Source organism: Homo sapiens, chromosome 18, assembly GCF_000001405.40.
Source record: "Homo sapiens chromosome 18, GRCh38.p14 Primary Assembly".
Taxonomy (NCBI): domain Eukaryota; kingdom Metazoa; phylum Chordata; class Mammalia; order Primates; family Hominidae; genus Homo; species Homo sapiens.
In genome coordinates, this window is record NC_000018.10 from 33,289,264 (window position 1) to 33,305,861 (window position 16,598).

Genomic DNA, 16,598 nt, shown 5'->3' on the forward strand with positions numbered 1-16,598 from the left:
ATTTTTTGAAAATCTCAAATCTTGAATCTTATTTGCAAGAGGTAGAGTTTAAAAATAATTTAAAAAAATGGCTGGGCAGGGTGGCTCATGCGTGTAATCCCAGCGCTTTGGAAGGCTGAGGTGGGTGGATCACCTGAGGTCAGGAGTTTGAGACCACCTGGCCAACATGGTGAAACTCCATCTCTACTAAAAATACAAAAATTAGCCAGGCATGGTGGCACACACCTGTAATCCCAGCTACTGGGGAGGCTGAGGCTGGAGAATCACTTGAACCCATGAGGCAGAGGTTGCAGTGAGCCAAGATCGCATCACTGCACTCCAGCCCTGGTGACACTGTGAGACTACCATCCCAAGAAATAAAAAAAAACAAACAACAACAAAACTTTTTTAAAAAAAGATAAAAGGAATTTCATTTAGGAAAGTCTAACGAACAGATAGAGTTGTGTGCAAAATATTAACCTGGGAATAAATATAAACAAACATTTATTGTGTAAATTAATAATAAATTATCTTAAGAAAATTAGTAAATAAGATATGCATAAAATGATGGAAAATTGAATATATGTCAGGAGAGGATCACAAAATCCCTAAACTGTTCAGGAAAAAGTTAAAGATATTGAGTATGCTTAACATCTGTCAAGTGAAATATGCATTCCACAAACTTTATTAATAATTCATAACTTCAAACCTTGCAAATAAAAGCATAATAAAAAAGCTCAACTCTAATAATTCTAAACTTATGGCTTCAAAATTCATAAAGCAAAATTTAGGAAAAATGAAAAAAGTAATCTATCTCCCTGAGATATTTTAATTCATCTCTTACAGTAATTGATAGAAGTGTCAGAAAATAAACCAGAAATATAAAAGATTTAAATAACACAATTAGCACAGATGGCTAAATCAATCTACTTAGAATTGTATGCCCAAACCAGAGAAAACATTTTTGTCAAATGAAATATTTATGCAAATTGCCCATATATTAGAACATGAATTAAACCATAATAAATTTTAAACTATTTCTACCATATAGACCAATTTTATAAACATATCAGGATCACATTACAAATCAATTTTTAAAAATAACTTTAACATTAGATGAAGATGGAAGGGTTAATTTATCTCATCACTGTCTGATTTTGCAAAGACATAGTTTGCCTTTTGGAAAGTTCCAAGAATATTGATTAAGGTTCAATTTGGGAAAACAACTCAAATAAACAGAGATAGATCATGGGTATGTTTAGAAGTCCCTATCATACAGATTTGATTTCTTCCCCAATTATTCCATAAGTGGATACAGTTTCAATCATAATTCTAACAAAAAATTTTAAATAAATGAACCAGATAATCCTGAAACCTATATGGAAGGGCAAGAATCAAGAAAAGCCTAGAACTCAAAAGAAAATATAAGATCAGAGGATTCACTATAATAGATAATTAACACCCATTATGGAATTTTCGTGACGTAGCCATGGAGTGTTCAGGTGAAGATGGTCAAATAGATCAAAGTAAAAAGTGAATGGAAAAAGATCCACACAAACATAAAAGCCTAATATGGGACAGAGATAGCACTGATTATAAATATATAAAGAAAACTCATCAGTAAATTGTATTGTAACAACTTGTTTTCTATATTATAAAAAAAGTAACTGGAAACTCACTTCACATTACACCCATACATTAATTTCTTATTAATTATGCATCACATCTGGCAAGTGAAACATGCATTCCAAAAATTGTAGAAATAGCTTTTTATTTCCAAATTTGTAAATAGAAGGCAGAGCGAGAAAAACAACCCTAAATTTTGAACATTCTAAACATAGTTTCATCTAAAACTATCACATAAATATTAAAAGCAGAATTCAGAAACATTGAGAATGAAATAACAGAAAATATTTTTATAATCTCAGGGGTGGGAAAATTTCTTAAACAAGTTCACAAAAGGAAAATGCACAAAGGAATGTATTTATACCTGATACTACATTAAACTGAAACGTCTCTTCATCAGAAGTTACCATAAAGAAATGAAAAAAGGTTGGGTAAATATATTTTTAACATTTGTAACTAGAAAATATTTAGTATCCATGATATATAAATTCTTACAAATCAGTGAGATGACACTCAGTATATAGCAGGAAAATCATGAGCAGGTTTTCACAGAAAAGGAAATACAAATCACCCTGCAAAAGTCATTAAAATATGTTCAGTTCCATTAATAACTAATAACAAACCATAATGAGGTACAATTAAAAAGCCTTATTGTAGAGAAGAATGTCTTTAACTCTAGGTAGGAATGCAAATTGGCATAATAATTTATATATTATTTCCTTTTACTATACTATTATTTATTTTATCTATTATGTTCTTATACAACAGTGAATGAGATATGGCAGAAAAAGAAAGCTTCATCTTCAGGAAAGATGAGTCATAATGAAAGGTCAGATGCTTCCAAGCAGGAGCACACCACTGCTGATTTTAGAGATGAAGAGAACAAACAGCCAGGGAATGCGGCAGCCTCTGAAAACTGAGTGTGATCTCAGGCTGACAGGTGCCAAGGAAACAAAGGCTTCAGTTCTCAAACCATAAGAATTAAATCATGTCAAAACTGCACACCCCAGTTAGAATGGGTACTATCAAAAAGACAAAAAATAACAAATGCTGTTGAAGATGCAGAGAAAAGGTACTCTTAAACGTTGTTGTTGGGACTATAAATGAACACAGCCACTGTGGAGTGGAGATCACAGCAGTATGGAGATTCCTCAAAAAAAAAAAAACCACTAAGAAAAGAATTACATATGATCCAACAATCCCACTGCTGGTTATATATCCAAAGAAAAAGGAATCAGTATGTCAAAGAGATATCTACACCTTCATGTTTACTGTGGCATAATTCACAAAACCTAAGATATGAAATCAACCTGCTTCCATCAATGGATGAGTAGATAAGAAAATGTGATGCACAATGGAATACTATTCAGCAATAAAAAGGAATGAATTCCTGTTATTTGCAGCAACATGGATGGAACAGGAGGGTATTATGTCAAGTGAAATAAGCCTAGCACAGAAAAATGAATACCATATGTTCTCATTCATACATGGAAGCTAAACAGGTTGATCTCACAGAAGCAGAGAGTAGAACAGTGATAACTAGAGACTAGGAAGGGTAGGGGGTAGGGACATAGAGAGAGGTTGGATAAGAGATAAAAAATTATAGCTTAATAGAGAAGTAAGTTTTAGTGTTCTTTAGCACTGTAGAGTGACTCTAGTTAATAATAATTCATTCTGTATTTTCCACGAGGATTTTCAAAATCCTCGAAAGAGGGCGATTTTGAATGTTACCAAAACAAAGAATGCTGAATGTTACCCTAATTTGATCATTACACATTGTATACAGGTATCAAAATATTACACTAGACCCCTTATAAAAATGTACAATTATTATGTGTCAATTGAAACAGAAACCGAAGAAGTTTTTGTCTGAAGTTTTTCTTCAGTTTTTGTTTTAATTGACACACAATAATTGTACATTTTATAGGGGGTCTAGTGTGATATTTTGATACCTGTATACTAAAAATAGTGTTATCCTGGAGTCTCCAGACAGAAGTGCCAGGCTACTGACACCCTGATTTTAGTCTTGCCAGACCTGGGGCAGAGCAACCACTTGAGCCATGCTGTGCCCAGACTTCTGACTTACGAAAAGGTTGAGATAATAAATGGGTCCTGTTTCAAGCTGCTAAATTTGTGGTAATTTGTTATGCAGCAATAGAAAACTAATACAGGCAAATTGGCTAAATATAAAAAAATTGGCCAATTGCTATTTAATTATTGACAAAAAAGTTTACTATTTATAACTCAAAACAAAAATCAGTATTTTTTATTTCTAATATGAAAAACTCACCATTTTTGATAGAGAATGTAATTCATTTTTTGATGACTTTGTTTCCCTTATTGCTTCAGTCACTTCCTCTTCCTTCTCCTCAATATTAGTATTAACATTTATCACTGATGAAGAGTAATGATCAAATAGACTGTTAAGTTGATATATCTCTCTCCTAGGGATAAAAACACAGTTTATTTTATTCACATTAAAAGAAAAAATATATTTTAAATTATACTTAGGCCAGGCTTGGTGGCTCATGCCTGTAATCTCAGCACTTTGGGAGGCCAAGGTAGCAGATGGCTTGAGTCCAGGAGTTCAAGACCAGCTTGGGCAACATGGAGAGACAATGCCTTTACAAAAAAAAAAAATTGAAAATTAGCCGAGCATGGTGGCACATGCCTGTAGTCCCATCTACTTAGTAGGCGGAGATGGGAGGATTCATCGAGCCCAGGAGGTTGAGGCTGTAGTGAGCTGTGATTGATCCACTGTACTCCAGCCTGGGTGACAGAGTGAGACCCTATCTCAAAAAAATTATATAAATGAGTAAGTAAATAAATTATACTTAAATTAGCTTTAACACACCGATGAATCAATGGAAATCCATCCCAACGTAACTTGACAATTTCTAAAAAAATACTACTTAGATGTTAAGTAAATAGTGAGGAAAAAAGTCATCAATAGTATTGTTTCCAAGGGAAAACATAATTGAGAGAAAAATCAATTATAAATGCTTTCAAATAAACTGTCTTTGAATCTGATTTCAGGTAAGAGATTTATACACTTTTAATTCAGAAGCTGGGTAATACAGGGATGGAAAGGTAAGGAAAAAAAAGATGAAAAAAGAAGAGAAGAGGAGGCAGAAGTGAAAAGACCAAGCAGTTATTGCTTTCACAGGCTTAGAGGTAAAATAAAGGAAATTGTAGCTTAGGAAAACACAGGGCTTTTTAAAAAGAAGTAATAGTCAAAGAGTTATTTGTTCCTATATGACCCTCCCAAGAGGACCAATGCTAATCTGTGAACCACACAATCCTTTATCTAATCTAGCAGGTAGAAACCACTTTCCAAATAAAATATTATCTTCAGATACTGTTATGGTTGTTTAATGGAGCAAAAAAATCACAGTGAGAAAATGATAAAATTACCATTTTCATAAACTATCAGCAAATAATATAGATAATTACAACTTTTTAAAGACACCTTAAACAAAATAGTAGACTAGGAGATTTATTTGAAACCCACATAAGAGTAAAACGTTTATATGTAATAAACTCCTACAAGTCAATATGTAATAGAAAAATTGTTCAATAGAAAAAGGCACAGAGAATATGAACAATCACCAATAAATATATGGTGTGCTTATTGAATTGGCCCAGATTCTTATGCACCAACCCTGATTCCAGCAGCATAGTCAAATGAAACCGAAATCTACAATCTCACTATAGAAATGAAAATTAAAGGAACAAACAAATAGGCAAGAACAACATTCTTTACATTTCCATGTCTGCAGAGTATAGACTTACCTGTCAGAGTCCTAGAAGCCAGTTAGGCAATGAGAGTTAGATAGCCTCAACATTCAAAATGTGTAAGTTTGATTAAGTTTTCTTCTTTTGAAATTAGTTCTTCTTCTCTCAGTGTTATCTATTGCCTCCAGTCCAGAGAATACACTATGGACTTTTGCCTGAGTGATGGACAATTGCCCACTGTCATGCAATTTGGGAGTTATTATTTTAGTGGTTCACTTATTCCAATTTTTTGATGAAGTTGATGCCACTAATTCCTCAGCCTTTTGAGGGTTTCCCAGAAAAGCAGTTTATACTATGCTTGTCTCCACTGTTATTTTAAATTTCCTCATTGTTATATCAGCTAAATCAGAATAAATTTAGAAGAATAAAAGGGAAGAATCACTCTACCTGTTGTTAGGAATTACTATGCAAACTCTGCAATCAAGAAAGTGTGATATTGGCAGAGGGATAGCCAAATAGATAAATAGAATGGTCATAGACGACCCAGAAATAGAGCTACACAAGCATGTCTGATTCTTGACAAACTTACAAAATCAATTTAATGAAAGTAATTTAACATATGGTGATGGAATAATTACATATTCATTGGCAAAAAAAGGGAAGCTCAAGCTAAATCTCACATTTTATATACAATCTAACTAAAAATGGCTTATATATCTAAATATAAATTGTAAACCTATAATATTTTTAGAAAACAAATTTCTTTGTGACAGGATTAGGGCAAGATTTCTTGTGTGTGACACCAAGTACATGATGAATAAAAGAAAAAAGTGATAAGTAGAATTTTAGAAAAATTAAGAACTTCTGCATTGTAAAACACCCTCAAAGACAAAAAGACAAGACTTTACTAAAACATAGAATATATTTACATATAACATATCCGATTAAAAATCTTATATTTTCAAAATTAAAGAATTCTCTACACACAACCATAAGAAAACAAACATTACAATGGGAAAATGGCAAAACATTTGAACAGACACTGTATGAAAAAGAGAATTCAATAACAAGCACATGAAAAGATGTACATCACAATTTGCCATTAGGGAAATGCAAATTCAAATCATAGTGAGATATCACTACAAACTTACTAGTCCAGGCTGAAATTTTTTTAAAAAAATAGTGTTCTCTTGTAGAGAAACTGGATCTCTCATACATTGCTGGCATTCATATAAAATGGTACAAGCCGTTCTGGAAGACCAGTTTGGCAGTTTTTTATAAAATTAAACTTACAGTCAACGTACATCCCAAAAAATCACACTTTTTGATATTTATCCGAGAGAAATGAAAAACTTATGTTCACACAAAAACTTCTACATTGATATCCATGGCAACTTTATTCAAAGTAGCAAATAACTGAAAACAAACTAAATGTCCCTCAAAGGGCAGATAGTTTCAAGCTCTGGTATATCCATACAATGGAATCTCATTCAGTGATAAAAAAGGAATGAACTCTTAATACCTTCAACAACCCAGATTGTTCTCAAATGCATTATGCTTAATAAAAAAAAGCCCAAATCAAAAGTTAAATGTTATAGGGTTTCATTTATATAACACTCTTAAAATGGCAAGACTAGAGATAGAGAAAATAATAGTGGTTGTCAGGAGACAGAGAAAGGACAGTGGATATGAATAAAAAGGGTAGCACAAGGAATGAAACTAGTCTGTATTCTGATCGTAGTGGTAGTTACTGAATCTATACGAGATAAAATGGCATATAATAATAAACACACACACACATACATACATGAAAATATGTAAAAAATCATGAAATGATTAGGCTTATCTCAATTTCCTGGTTTTAATACTGACAACAAGTACAGTATATACAATACAAGATACTCCCATTGGAAGAAGCTGGAGGAAGGGTACACAGGACTCTATGTCTAAACTCCTATGAGTCTATAATTATTTATGAATAAAGATTTAAAAAGCAAAATATTAGATGAAACAGACCTGCATATTTATCAAGATTGAGATAAGACACATAAAAAATCCCACATACTCAAATAGGGGAAAGTGAACTTTAGTGGTTCACTTGAAAACCTACAAGGTATCAGTCTAATTAAGAATCATATTTTGGGCCAGGCGTGGTGGCTCACACCTGTAATCCTAGCACTTTGAAAGGCAAGGCAGGTGGATCACCAGAGGTCAGGAGTTTGAGACAAGCCTGGCTCATGGTGAAACTCTGCCTCTACTAAAAATACAAAATTAGCCGAGAGTGGTGTCGTACACCTGTAATCCCACCTACTCGGGAGGCTGAAACCAGAGAATTGCTTGAACCCAGGAGGCAGAGGTTGTAGTGAATCAAGATTGTGTCACTGCACTGCAGCCTAGGTGACAGAGCAAGACTCCATCTCAAATAATAAACAAATAAATAAATATATAGAAATACATTAAAATTAAATGATATATTCCTGAAAGACCAGTGAATGAAGAAAAAAATTAAAAATACAATTAAAGAATTAGTTGAAATAAATGAAAATAGAAACACAATATGCCAATTCTATGGGACACATAAAAAGAAGTATTAAGAAGCAAGTTTATAGCAGTAAATGACTATAGCAAAAACTAGAGCGATTTAAAATAACCTGCTGATGCACTGCAAGGACCTAGAAAAGCAAGAACAAACCAAAATTACAATAAGTAGAAGGAAAGAAATAAAGATCAAAAGCAGAAGTAATAAAATTGAGACTAAAAAATACAAGAAATTCACAGAACAAAAAGTTAGCTTCTTCAAAGATAAACAAACGGACAAATCATTAGGTAGATTAACAAAGAAAAAAAGGGAAGACCCAAAAACAAAATCACAAATGAAAAACGAGTTATCACAATGGGTACCACAAAAAATAAAAGTATAATTAGAGATTACTATAAACAATTTATATGCTAATAAAATAAATAACCTAGAGGAAATCGATAAATTCCTAGACACATACAACCTATTAAGATTGAACCAAGAAGAAACAGAAAGCCTAAACAGAGCAATAACAAGTAATAAGATTGACTCAGTTACAAAAAGTCTTCCCCCCAAAAAATCCAGTACCAGATGGCTTTACCACTGCATTCTATTGAACCTTTAAAGAAGAAACAACTGGCCAGGCACAGTGGCTCACGCCTGTAATCCCAGCACTTTGGGAGGCCTAAACAGGTGGACCATGAAGTCAGGAGATGGAGACCATCCTGGCTAACACGGTGAAACCCCGTCTCTACTAAAAATACAAAAAAATTCGCCAGACGTGGTGGCGGGCGCCTGTAGTCCCAGCTACTCGGGAGGCTGAGGCAGGAGAATGGCGTGAACCTGGGAGGTGGAGCTTGCAGTGAGCCGAGATTGCACACTGCACTCCAGCCTGGGCGACTGAGCGAGACTCTGTCTGAAAAAAAAAAAAAGAAGTAACTTCAATTCTTCTAAAACTATTCCAAAAAAATTGAAATGAAAGGAACTCTCCCTAACTCATTCCACAAGACCGCTGTAACCTTGATACCAAAACTAGACAGGGACACAACAAGAAAAAAACACTATAAGCCAATATATCTGATGAACATAGATAGAAACATCTTCAGCAAAATGCCAGGAAACTAATTCCAACAATATATCAAAATGATAACACACCATGATCAGGTGGGATTTATCCCAGAAAGTCAAGAATGATTCAATATGCATGAATCAATAAATGTGATACATTACATCAATGCAATAAAGGACAAAAGCCATATGATCATCTCAGTAAAGGCAAGTAAAGTATGTGATAAAATTAAACATTTCATCACAATAAAAAATACTCTTAATAAATTAGGTGTAGAAAAAAGTACCTCAACATAATACAGGGGCCATATATGACAAAACCATAGCCAATATCATACTGAAGAGGGAAAAGCTGAAAGTTTTTTCTATAAGATCTAGAACAAGACAAGGACGTCCAGTCTCAGCACTCTCATTCAACCTAATACTGGAAGTCCTAGCCAGAACAATTAGCCAAGAGAAAGAAATACAGGGCAGCATCTATTTTGGAAAGTAGGAAGTCTAATTGTCCGTCTTTGTAGATGACATAATCTTGTATACAGAAAAACCTGAAGACTCTACCAAAAAATGCTTAGAACTGATAAATGAATTCAGTAAAGTTGCAGGATTCAACATCAACATACAAAAATCAGCAGTGTTTCTATATACTAATAAAGATATAACCAAAAAATAAATTAAAAAGGCAATCTCATTTAAAATAGCTACAAAAAAAACTAGAAACATATGTAACCAAGGAGGTCAAAGACCTCTACAAGAAAAACTGCAAAACACTAATGAAAGAAATTGAAGAAGATACAAAAATGGAGATATCCTAGCTCACGGATTGAAAGAATATTGTCAAAATGACCATACTACCCAAAGCAACCTACAATTTAAATGCAATTCGTATCAGAATACCAATGACAGTATTCATAGAAATTTTTAAAAAGTTAAAAATTTTATGGAACCACAAAAACCCCAAAGAGCTAAAGCAATTTTGAGCAAAACAACAAAGCTGGAGGTACCACACTACCTGACTACAAAGCTGTTATATCCAAAACAGCATGGTGCTGACAATAAAAATGGATACATAGACCAACTAAACAACATAGAAAACCCAGATATTAATCTACATATCTACAACCAACTGATTTTTGACAAAGACAGAAAGAATACACTTTGGGGAAATGACAGTCTCTTCAATAAATGGTTCTGAAAAACCTGATATTCATATATGGAATAATAAAAATAGACCTCATCTCTTACCCTATACACAAATCAAGTCAACATGGATGAAAGACCTAAATGTAAGAACCAAAACTTTAAAACTAGTATAAACACACACACACACACACACACACACACACACTCAGAGGAAATGGTTCAACACATTGTCCTGGGAAAAGTTTTATGAATAAGACCTCAAAATTACAAGCAACAAAAGCATAAATAAACAAATGGGATAATATCAAACTAAAAAGCTTCTGCACAGCAAACAAGCAACAGTGTGCAAGTACAATGTACACAATGGGAGAAAATATTTGCAATCTATTAATCAAACTGCAGATTAATATCCAGAATATACAAGGATTTCAAACATCTCAACAGAAAAAAAAAAAACACAAAAAACAAAAAACAAAAAACCTTGGGCAAATAACCTTAACAGATATTTCTCAAAAATGCTTGATATCACTAATCATTAGGGAAATGCAAACAACAATGAGGTATCATATCAGCCAATTAGGATGGATATTATCAAAAGACAAAAAATAACAAATGCTGTTGATATAGGTTGGATATTTGTCCCCTAAATCTCATGCTGAGCCGTAATCCCCAATGTTTAAGGTGGGGCATGATGGGAGCTGTTTCGGTCATGGGGATGGATCTCTCATGAATAAATTGGTGCTGTCCTCAGGATAGTGAGTGAGTTCTCACAAGAAATGGTTGTTTAAGTGTGGCCCTTCCTCCCTCTCTCTTTCGCTCCCACTCTTGCCATGTGACATGCCTGCTTGCCTGCTCCCACTTCACTTTCCTCCATGATTGTTACCTTCCTGAGGCCCTCAATAGAAGCCAAGCAAATGTTGCTGCCATGCTTCTATAGCCTGCAGAACTGTGAGCCAATTAAGCCTTTTTATTTACAAATTACCCAGTCTCAGGTATTTCTTTATAGCAATGCAAAAATGGCTTAATAAATAAAATTGGTACCAAGGAATTGGGCATTGCTATAAAGATACTTGAAAGTGTGCAAATGACTTTGAAACTCAGTAATAGGCAGAGATTGGAGGAGTTTAGAGAGCTCAGAAGAAGACAGGAAGGTGAGAGAAGGTTTGGAACTTCTAAGATACTGGTCAAATGGTTGTGACCAAAATACTGATAGAAACGTTGACAGTGAAGGCTAGACTGATGAGGTTTCAGATGTAAATGAGGAAGCTATTGGGAACTGGAGTAAAGATTACCCATGTTACACCTGAGCAAAGAGCTTGACTGCATTGTGTTCGTGTCCTAGGGATCTGTGGAAGTTTGAACTTAAGAGTAATGACTTAGAGTATATGGCAGAAGAAATTTCTAAGCAGCAAAGTGTTCAAGATGTAGCTTGGCTGCTTCTAATGACCTATTATCATATATGGGAGCAAATGAATGACTTAAAAGTGAAATTTATATTTAAAAGGGAAGCAGAGAGTAAAAGTCTGGAAAGTTTGCAGCCTGGCCATGTGGCACAGAAAAATTCCAAGCAGGCTGCAGAACAACCACTTGCTAGAAAGATTAGTATGACTAAAAGAGAGCAAAGTGCTAATATCCAAGACAATGGGAAAAAGACTTTCAAGGCATTACAGAGATCACAGAGGCAGCTCCTCCCATTACAGGAAAATGGCCCAGGAGGAAAGAACTGTTTCAGGGGGCAGGCCTGGGATGCTGCTTCCCTGCTCAGTTTAGGGACACTGCTCCCTGCATCACAGCTGCTCCAGCTACAATTATGGCTCAAAGGACCCCAGGTATGGTTTTGGCTGCCACTCTGGAGGGTACAAGCCATAAGCCTTGGTGGCTTCCACCATGGTGTTAAGCCTGTGGGTGCATAGAATGCAAGCGTGAAGGAAGGTTGGAGGCTTTTAGCTGCATTTCAGAGGATGTAGGAGAAAGCCTGTGGGCCCAGGCAGAAGCCTGACCCAGGGGCAGGGCCCTCACAGATAACCTCTACTAGGAAAATGGCAGAGGAAAATATGGGGTTGGAGACCCCACAGAGAATCCCCACTGGGGCACAGTCCAGTGGAGCTGTGGGAAGATGGCTGCTACCCTTCAGCCCCCAGAATGGTAGCTCCACTGACAACTTGCACCCTGAACCTGGAATCCACAGTCACTCAACTCCAACTCATGAGAATAGCTGCACCTTGCAAAGCCACAAGAATGGAACTGTCAAGGTCTTAAAAACTGACCCCTTCCAGTGTGTGCTCGATGTGGGACATGGAGTAAAAGGAGATTATTTCAGAGCTTTAAGATTTAGTGACTGCCCTGTTGGATTTCAGACTTTTATGAGGCCTGTTGCCTCTTTCTTTCGACCAATTTCTCTCTTTTGGAATAGTAATGTTTACCCAGTGCCTATACTACCATTGCATCTTGGCAGTAAATAACTTGCTTTGATTTTATAGGCTCAAAGTTGGAAGGAGATGAGTCTCAGATGAGACTTAGGACTTTGGACTTGATGCTGGAATGAGTTAAGACTTTTTTTTATTTTGCCATGTGAGGTGGACATGAGATTTGAGGAACCAAGGGTGGAATGATATAGTTTAAATGTTTGTCCCCTCCAAATCTCATATTGAAATGTAATCCCCAATGTTGGAGATGGGACATGCTGGGAGGTGTTTTGGTCATGGGAGTGGATCCTTCATGAATGGCTTTGTGGTGTCCTCAGGATAGTGATTGAGTTCTCACAAGATCTGGTTGTTTAAAAGTGTGTGACACCTCCTCCCTCTCTCTCTTGCTCCCATTCTCACCATGTGACATGCCTGTTCCCACTTCTCCCACTTTGCCTTCCACTATGATTGTCAGCTTCCTGAGGCCCTTTCCAGAAACAAAGCAGATGTTTCTACCATGTTTGTACAGTGTGAAAAACCATAAATCAACTAAACTTATTTTCTTTATAAATTACTGAGCCTCAGGTATTTCTTTATTGCAATGCAAAAACTGCCTAACAAAGCTGGTGAGAATGCAAAAAAATAAATAAATAAAAATAAGGAGCTCTTCTACACTGCTGGTGGGAATGTAAACTAGTACAGCTGCTATGGATAATAGTATGAAAATTCCACAAAAGTTACAAATAGAACTACTATATGATCCAGCAATCTCACTACTGGGCATTTATCCAAAGGAAAGGAAATCAGTATTGAAGAACTCATATGCACGCCCATGTTCATCACTACACTATGCACAATAGCCAAGATATGGAATCAACCTAGGTGTCCCGGTGAATGAACAAAGAAAATGTGATATGTATACACGACGTAATACTATTCTCCACAAAAAGAATGAAATCTTGTCATTCACAGCAACATGGGTGGAACTGGTGAATATTACGTTAATGAAATAAGACAGTAACAGAAAGTTCAAAGTTGCTTGTTCTCACTCATGTATGGAAGCTAAAAAACAGTTGATCTCAAAGAAGAAGTAAAAATTGAAACAGAGGATATTAAAGGCTGGGAAATGTAGGAGAAAGGGGGGATAGACAGAGATTTTTCAAAGGATACACAATTACAGCTAGATAGAAGGAATAAGTTCTAGTGTTCTGTACCAATATAGAATGACTATAGTTAACAATAATATATAGCTTCAAATGGCTAGGAGAAGGATTTGGAATGTTCCCAACATGAGAAACAGTAAATGTTTGTGATAATAGATATGCCAGTTACCCTGATCTAATTACTGTATATATTATGTGTATTAAAACATCATTACATACCCCATGAGTATATACATATTCTATATGTCAATCTTTAAAGTTTAAAAAGAAATAACCTATCAAGCCATGGAAAGACAAGGAGAAATGTAATGCATTTTACTAAGTGAAAGAAGCCAATCTGAAAAGGCTGAATCCTATATGATGTCAACTATATCACATTCTTAAAAAGTCATAACTGTGAAGACAATAAAAAGGTCAGGGATTACCAGGAGTTAGGTGGGAGGAAGCAAGGAATAAGTAGAGCAAAAAGGATTTTTTTTAAGTAGTACAGTGCAACTATTGAATAATATTATAGTTGTGTACACATGTCTTTATACATTTTCCAAACCCATAGAATGTACATCATGAGTGAGCTCTATTGTAAACTATGATCTTTGGGTGATAATGATGTGTCAATGTAAGTTTGATGTTGTAACAAGTGTACCACTTGGATGTGGGATGTTTGGTATGGGATGCAGACAGTATGGGGGATGAGGAGAAGGGATAAAAGGGAGCTTTCTAAACTTTCCACCCAATTTTGCTGTGAGCCCAAAACTGCTCAAAAACATAAAGTCTAGTTTTTAAAAAAAAAAAAAACTATGAAAAAAATCTAAAAGAAGATAGTTTTAATGGTAAATTGTTGTGTTAATCTGCATCTTCTGAGAACCAGACATCATGAAAGCATTACAAGTTCAAGGATATTTTTAGGGGAAATGCTTGTGAGAAAGGAAATTGGGAGGAAGCAGTAGTCAGGGCACACTGCCTGTCTTGAGTGTAAGTCTGCCCCAGAGTAAATGAGAGAGGGAGGAAAGCTTGAAGCATCCTATGCAGTTCATGGAATATTTGAAGAAGCCACCGGGAATCCTCAAAGTTGGCTGTAGGGGATCCTATTTTTCCCAGAAGCATGCCTGCCTTAGTATACCTGCAACAATCAGTCATCAGCTAGGAATAGTGCATTGTATTTCCATGGCAAAAAAAAGAAGTGATGGATTTTGAAGTGTAGCAACAGGAGCCTGCATTGGCTATCCGTTGCTGCATAAAAAGTATAACCAAACTTAGTTGCTAAATTCATTACTATTTACTATCTCACCAGTTCTGTGATCCCCTAGGTTCTCCAGCTCTGGGTCTTTTACCATGACTGGCAAGGACCTGTTTTCTAACATACTACAAATACTTCTGCCATCACATTGCTGGTTGTTGGCAGCAATTCTCAAGGGTGGTTGATTCTCAAAGGTGGGTGGACTGAAACTTATGTTGTTTCCACACACTGTAGGCCTCTCCATAGAGCATCTCAATACATGGCAGCTTGATTCATCAGAGCAAGTAAACAAGATGGCAAGAAAGAGAATGCTAGCAAGATAAGTCACGAATTTTTGCAACCTAATCATAAAACGATGTTCTATTACTTTTGCTTTATTCTGTTTATTAGAAGCAACTGAGTATAGTGCACATTCAAGCGGGGATTTTACAAAAGTGTGACTGTTCCCCAACATAATGCCTACATGACATAGCTGAATTTCAACCCTTCTCTAACTCTGCTTATCTTTAAGAAACAGGATGCCTGGATAAAAAGTTCCCTTTGTAACTGGGCCAGCTGAGACTAGTTAGAACCAAGATGGTCAACTGGACTGAACAACTTCAAAAAGACCTCAAGCTTTATTATAATGTCATTTTCATGCTAAATGACCCTCTCACCAGCACCATGATAGTTCACAGTCCTCATGATAACAGCTGGAAGGCACCATAAAAGGATAAAAAGGAAGGCAGCGCTCAAGTTCAGGGAAGTTCATTTCCCATTTCCAGAAAAGACATAAACATTCCTCCTTTTGATTTTAATGTTCAACCTCTTCATTTTTGCTCCCCTTATCCCTCACTAGTGGAAAAGTTGATTTGTGAGCCTTGCTCCTTCTTATCAGTTCTGTGTTCTGCACTGCTTGACACTCACTTTTGGTTTTATGTATTAGCTTAATGAAACCAAACAAGGAAGGACCCCATCTGTTGAAGGATTAGCTTTCTCTGTAATCAAACTGGTGACCCAGCATCTGAACTAGATAGTCCACTTCCTTATTTGGGAAGCTTTTTTACATGCTCATAGACCCAGTAACTGGCATGTAAGGGTTTACAACCGCATCTGCCAGCAAAGGACATGCATTAGTCCTGACTCTGAGTGCCAGGGATCAGCTTTGGAAAAGGTAATATATCATTGTTGTGAGGTCATAAGCAGGCACGCAAAGGGTTATATAGCTGTACTGGAAAGAAAGCTCAGAGCTAAGTATGATGAGGACACTCACCCCAAATCAGGGTTGTGCACAGGGATGCCTGGCACAAGGTCGTGGTCCTGTACTCAGTAGAGGTCCCTGCTGGAGTCCTTGAGAGGGTGAAGGAGGGACCAGTGTTTTATTCTGAGTAGAGACTCCCTTAAGAGTCTCTGCAAAGGTGAGAGAGGAACCTAAGGGCTGACACTCTAGACTGCAAGATCAAGAAATGACCTGCCAGTACGTCTTTTGTGTATGAATGTGTATTCTTCTCTGTTTCTATTTACTCCTCTTAGTGATTTTACTCTTATGTCTGTGAAAACCTCTTTCATGCCAACTTTCTTGCACCAGAGGAGCTTAAATTTACCCTCTTCCCAGAAATACTTCCTCCCCCTCCTCCTTCTTCTCCTCCTTGCTGAAGCCCCACAGACAAAGTGGCCTTGGCTTCTCCCCTAACAGGAGGATGACATACAGTCTGGAAAGTTAAGGGATCATTTTTGGGGGATTGGAG

General features: G+C 36.1%; 1 protein-coding gene across 10 annotated transcripts in view, besides 1 other annotated feature; it reads right to left on the bottom strand.

Annotated features, from left to right (window-relative positions):
* The window catches only part of CCDC178 (coiled-coil domain containing 178), a 503,635-nt gene that overhangs the window by 351,858 nt on the left and 135,179 nt on the right, over window positions 1-16,598 (bottom strand). For all 10 annotated transcript variants that reach the window (NM_001371120.1, NM_198995.3, XM_011525951.2 and 7 more), the window contains one exon: window positions 3,896-4,049. In NM_001371120.1, coding sequence (NP_001358049.1) covers window positions 3,896-4,049 — 154 coding nt within the window. The remainder of the gene's footprint in view (window positions 1-3,895; window positions 4,050-16,598) is intronic.
* Window positions 11,457-11,989: an enhancer, noted in NCBI's record as "NANOG hESC enhancer chr18:30880684-30881216 (GRCh37/hg19 assembly coordinates)". NCBI's record gives its function as "activates a minimal SCP1, AML or CMV promoter by ChIP-STARR-seq in naive H9 embryonic stem cells {active_cell/tissue: H9 hESC(naive)}" and the evidence as "EXISTENCE:reporter gene assay evidence [ECO:0000049][PMID:30033119]".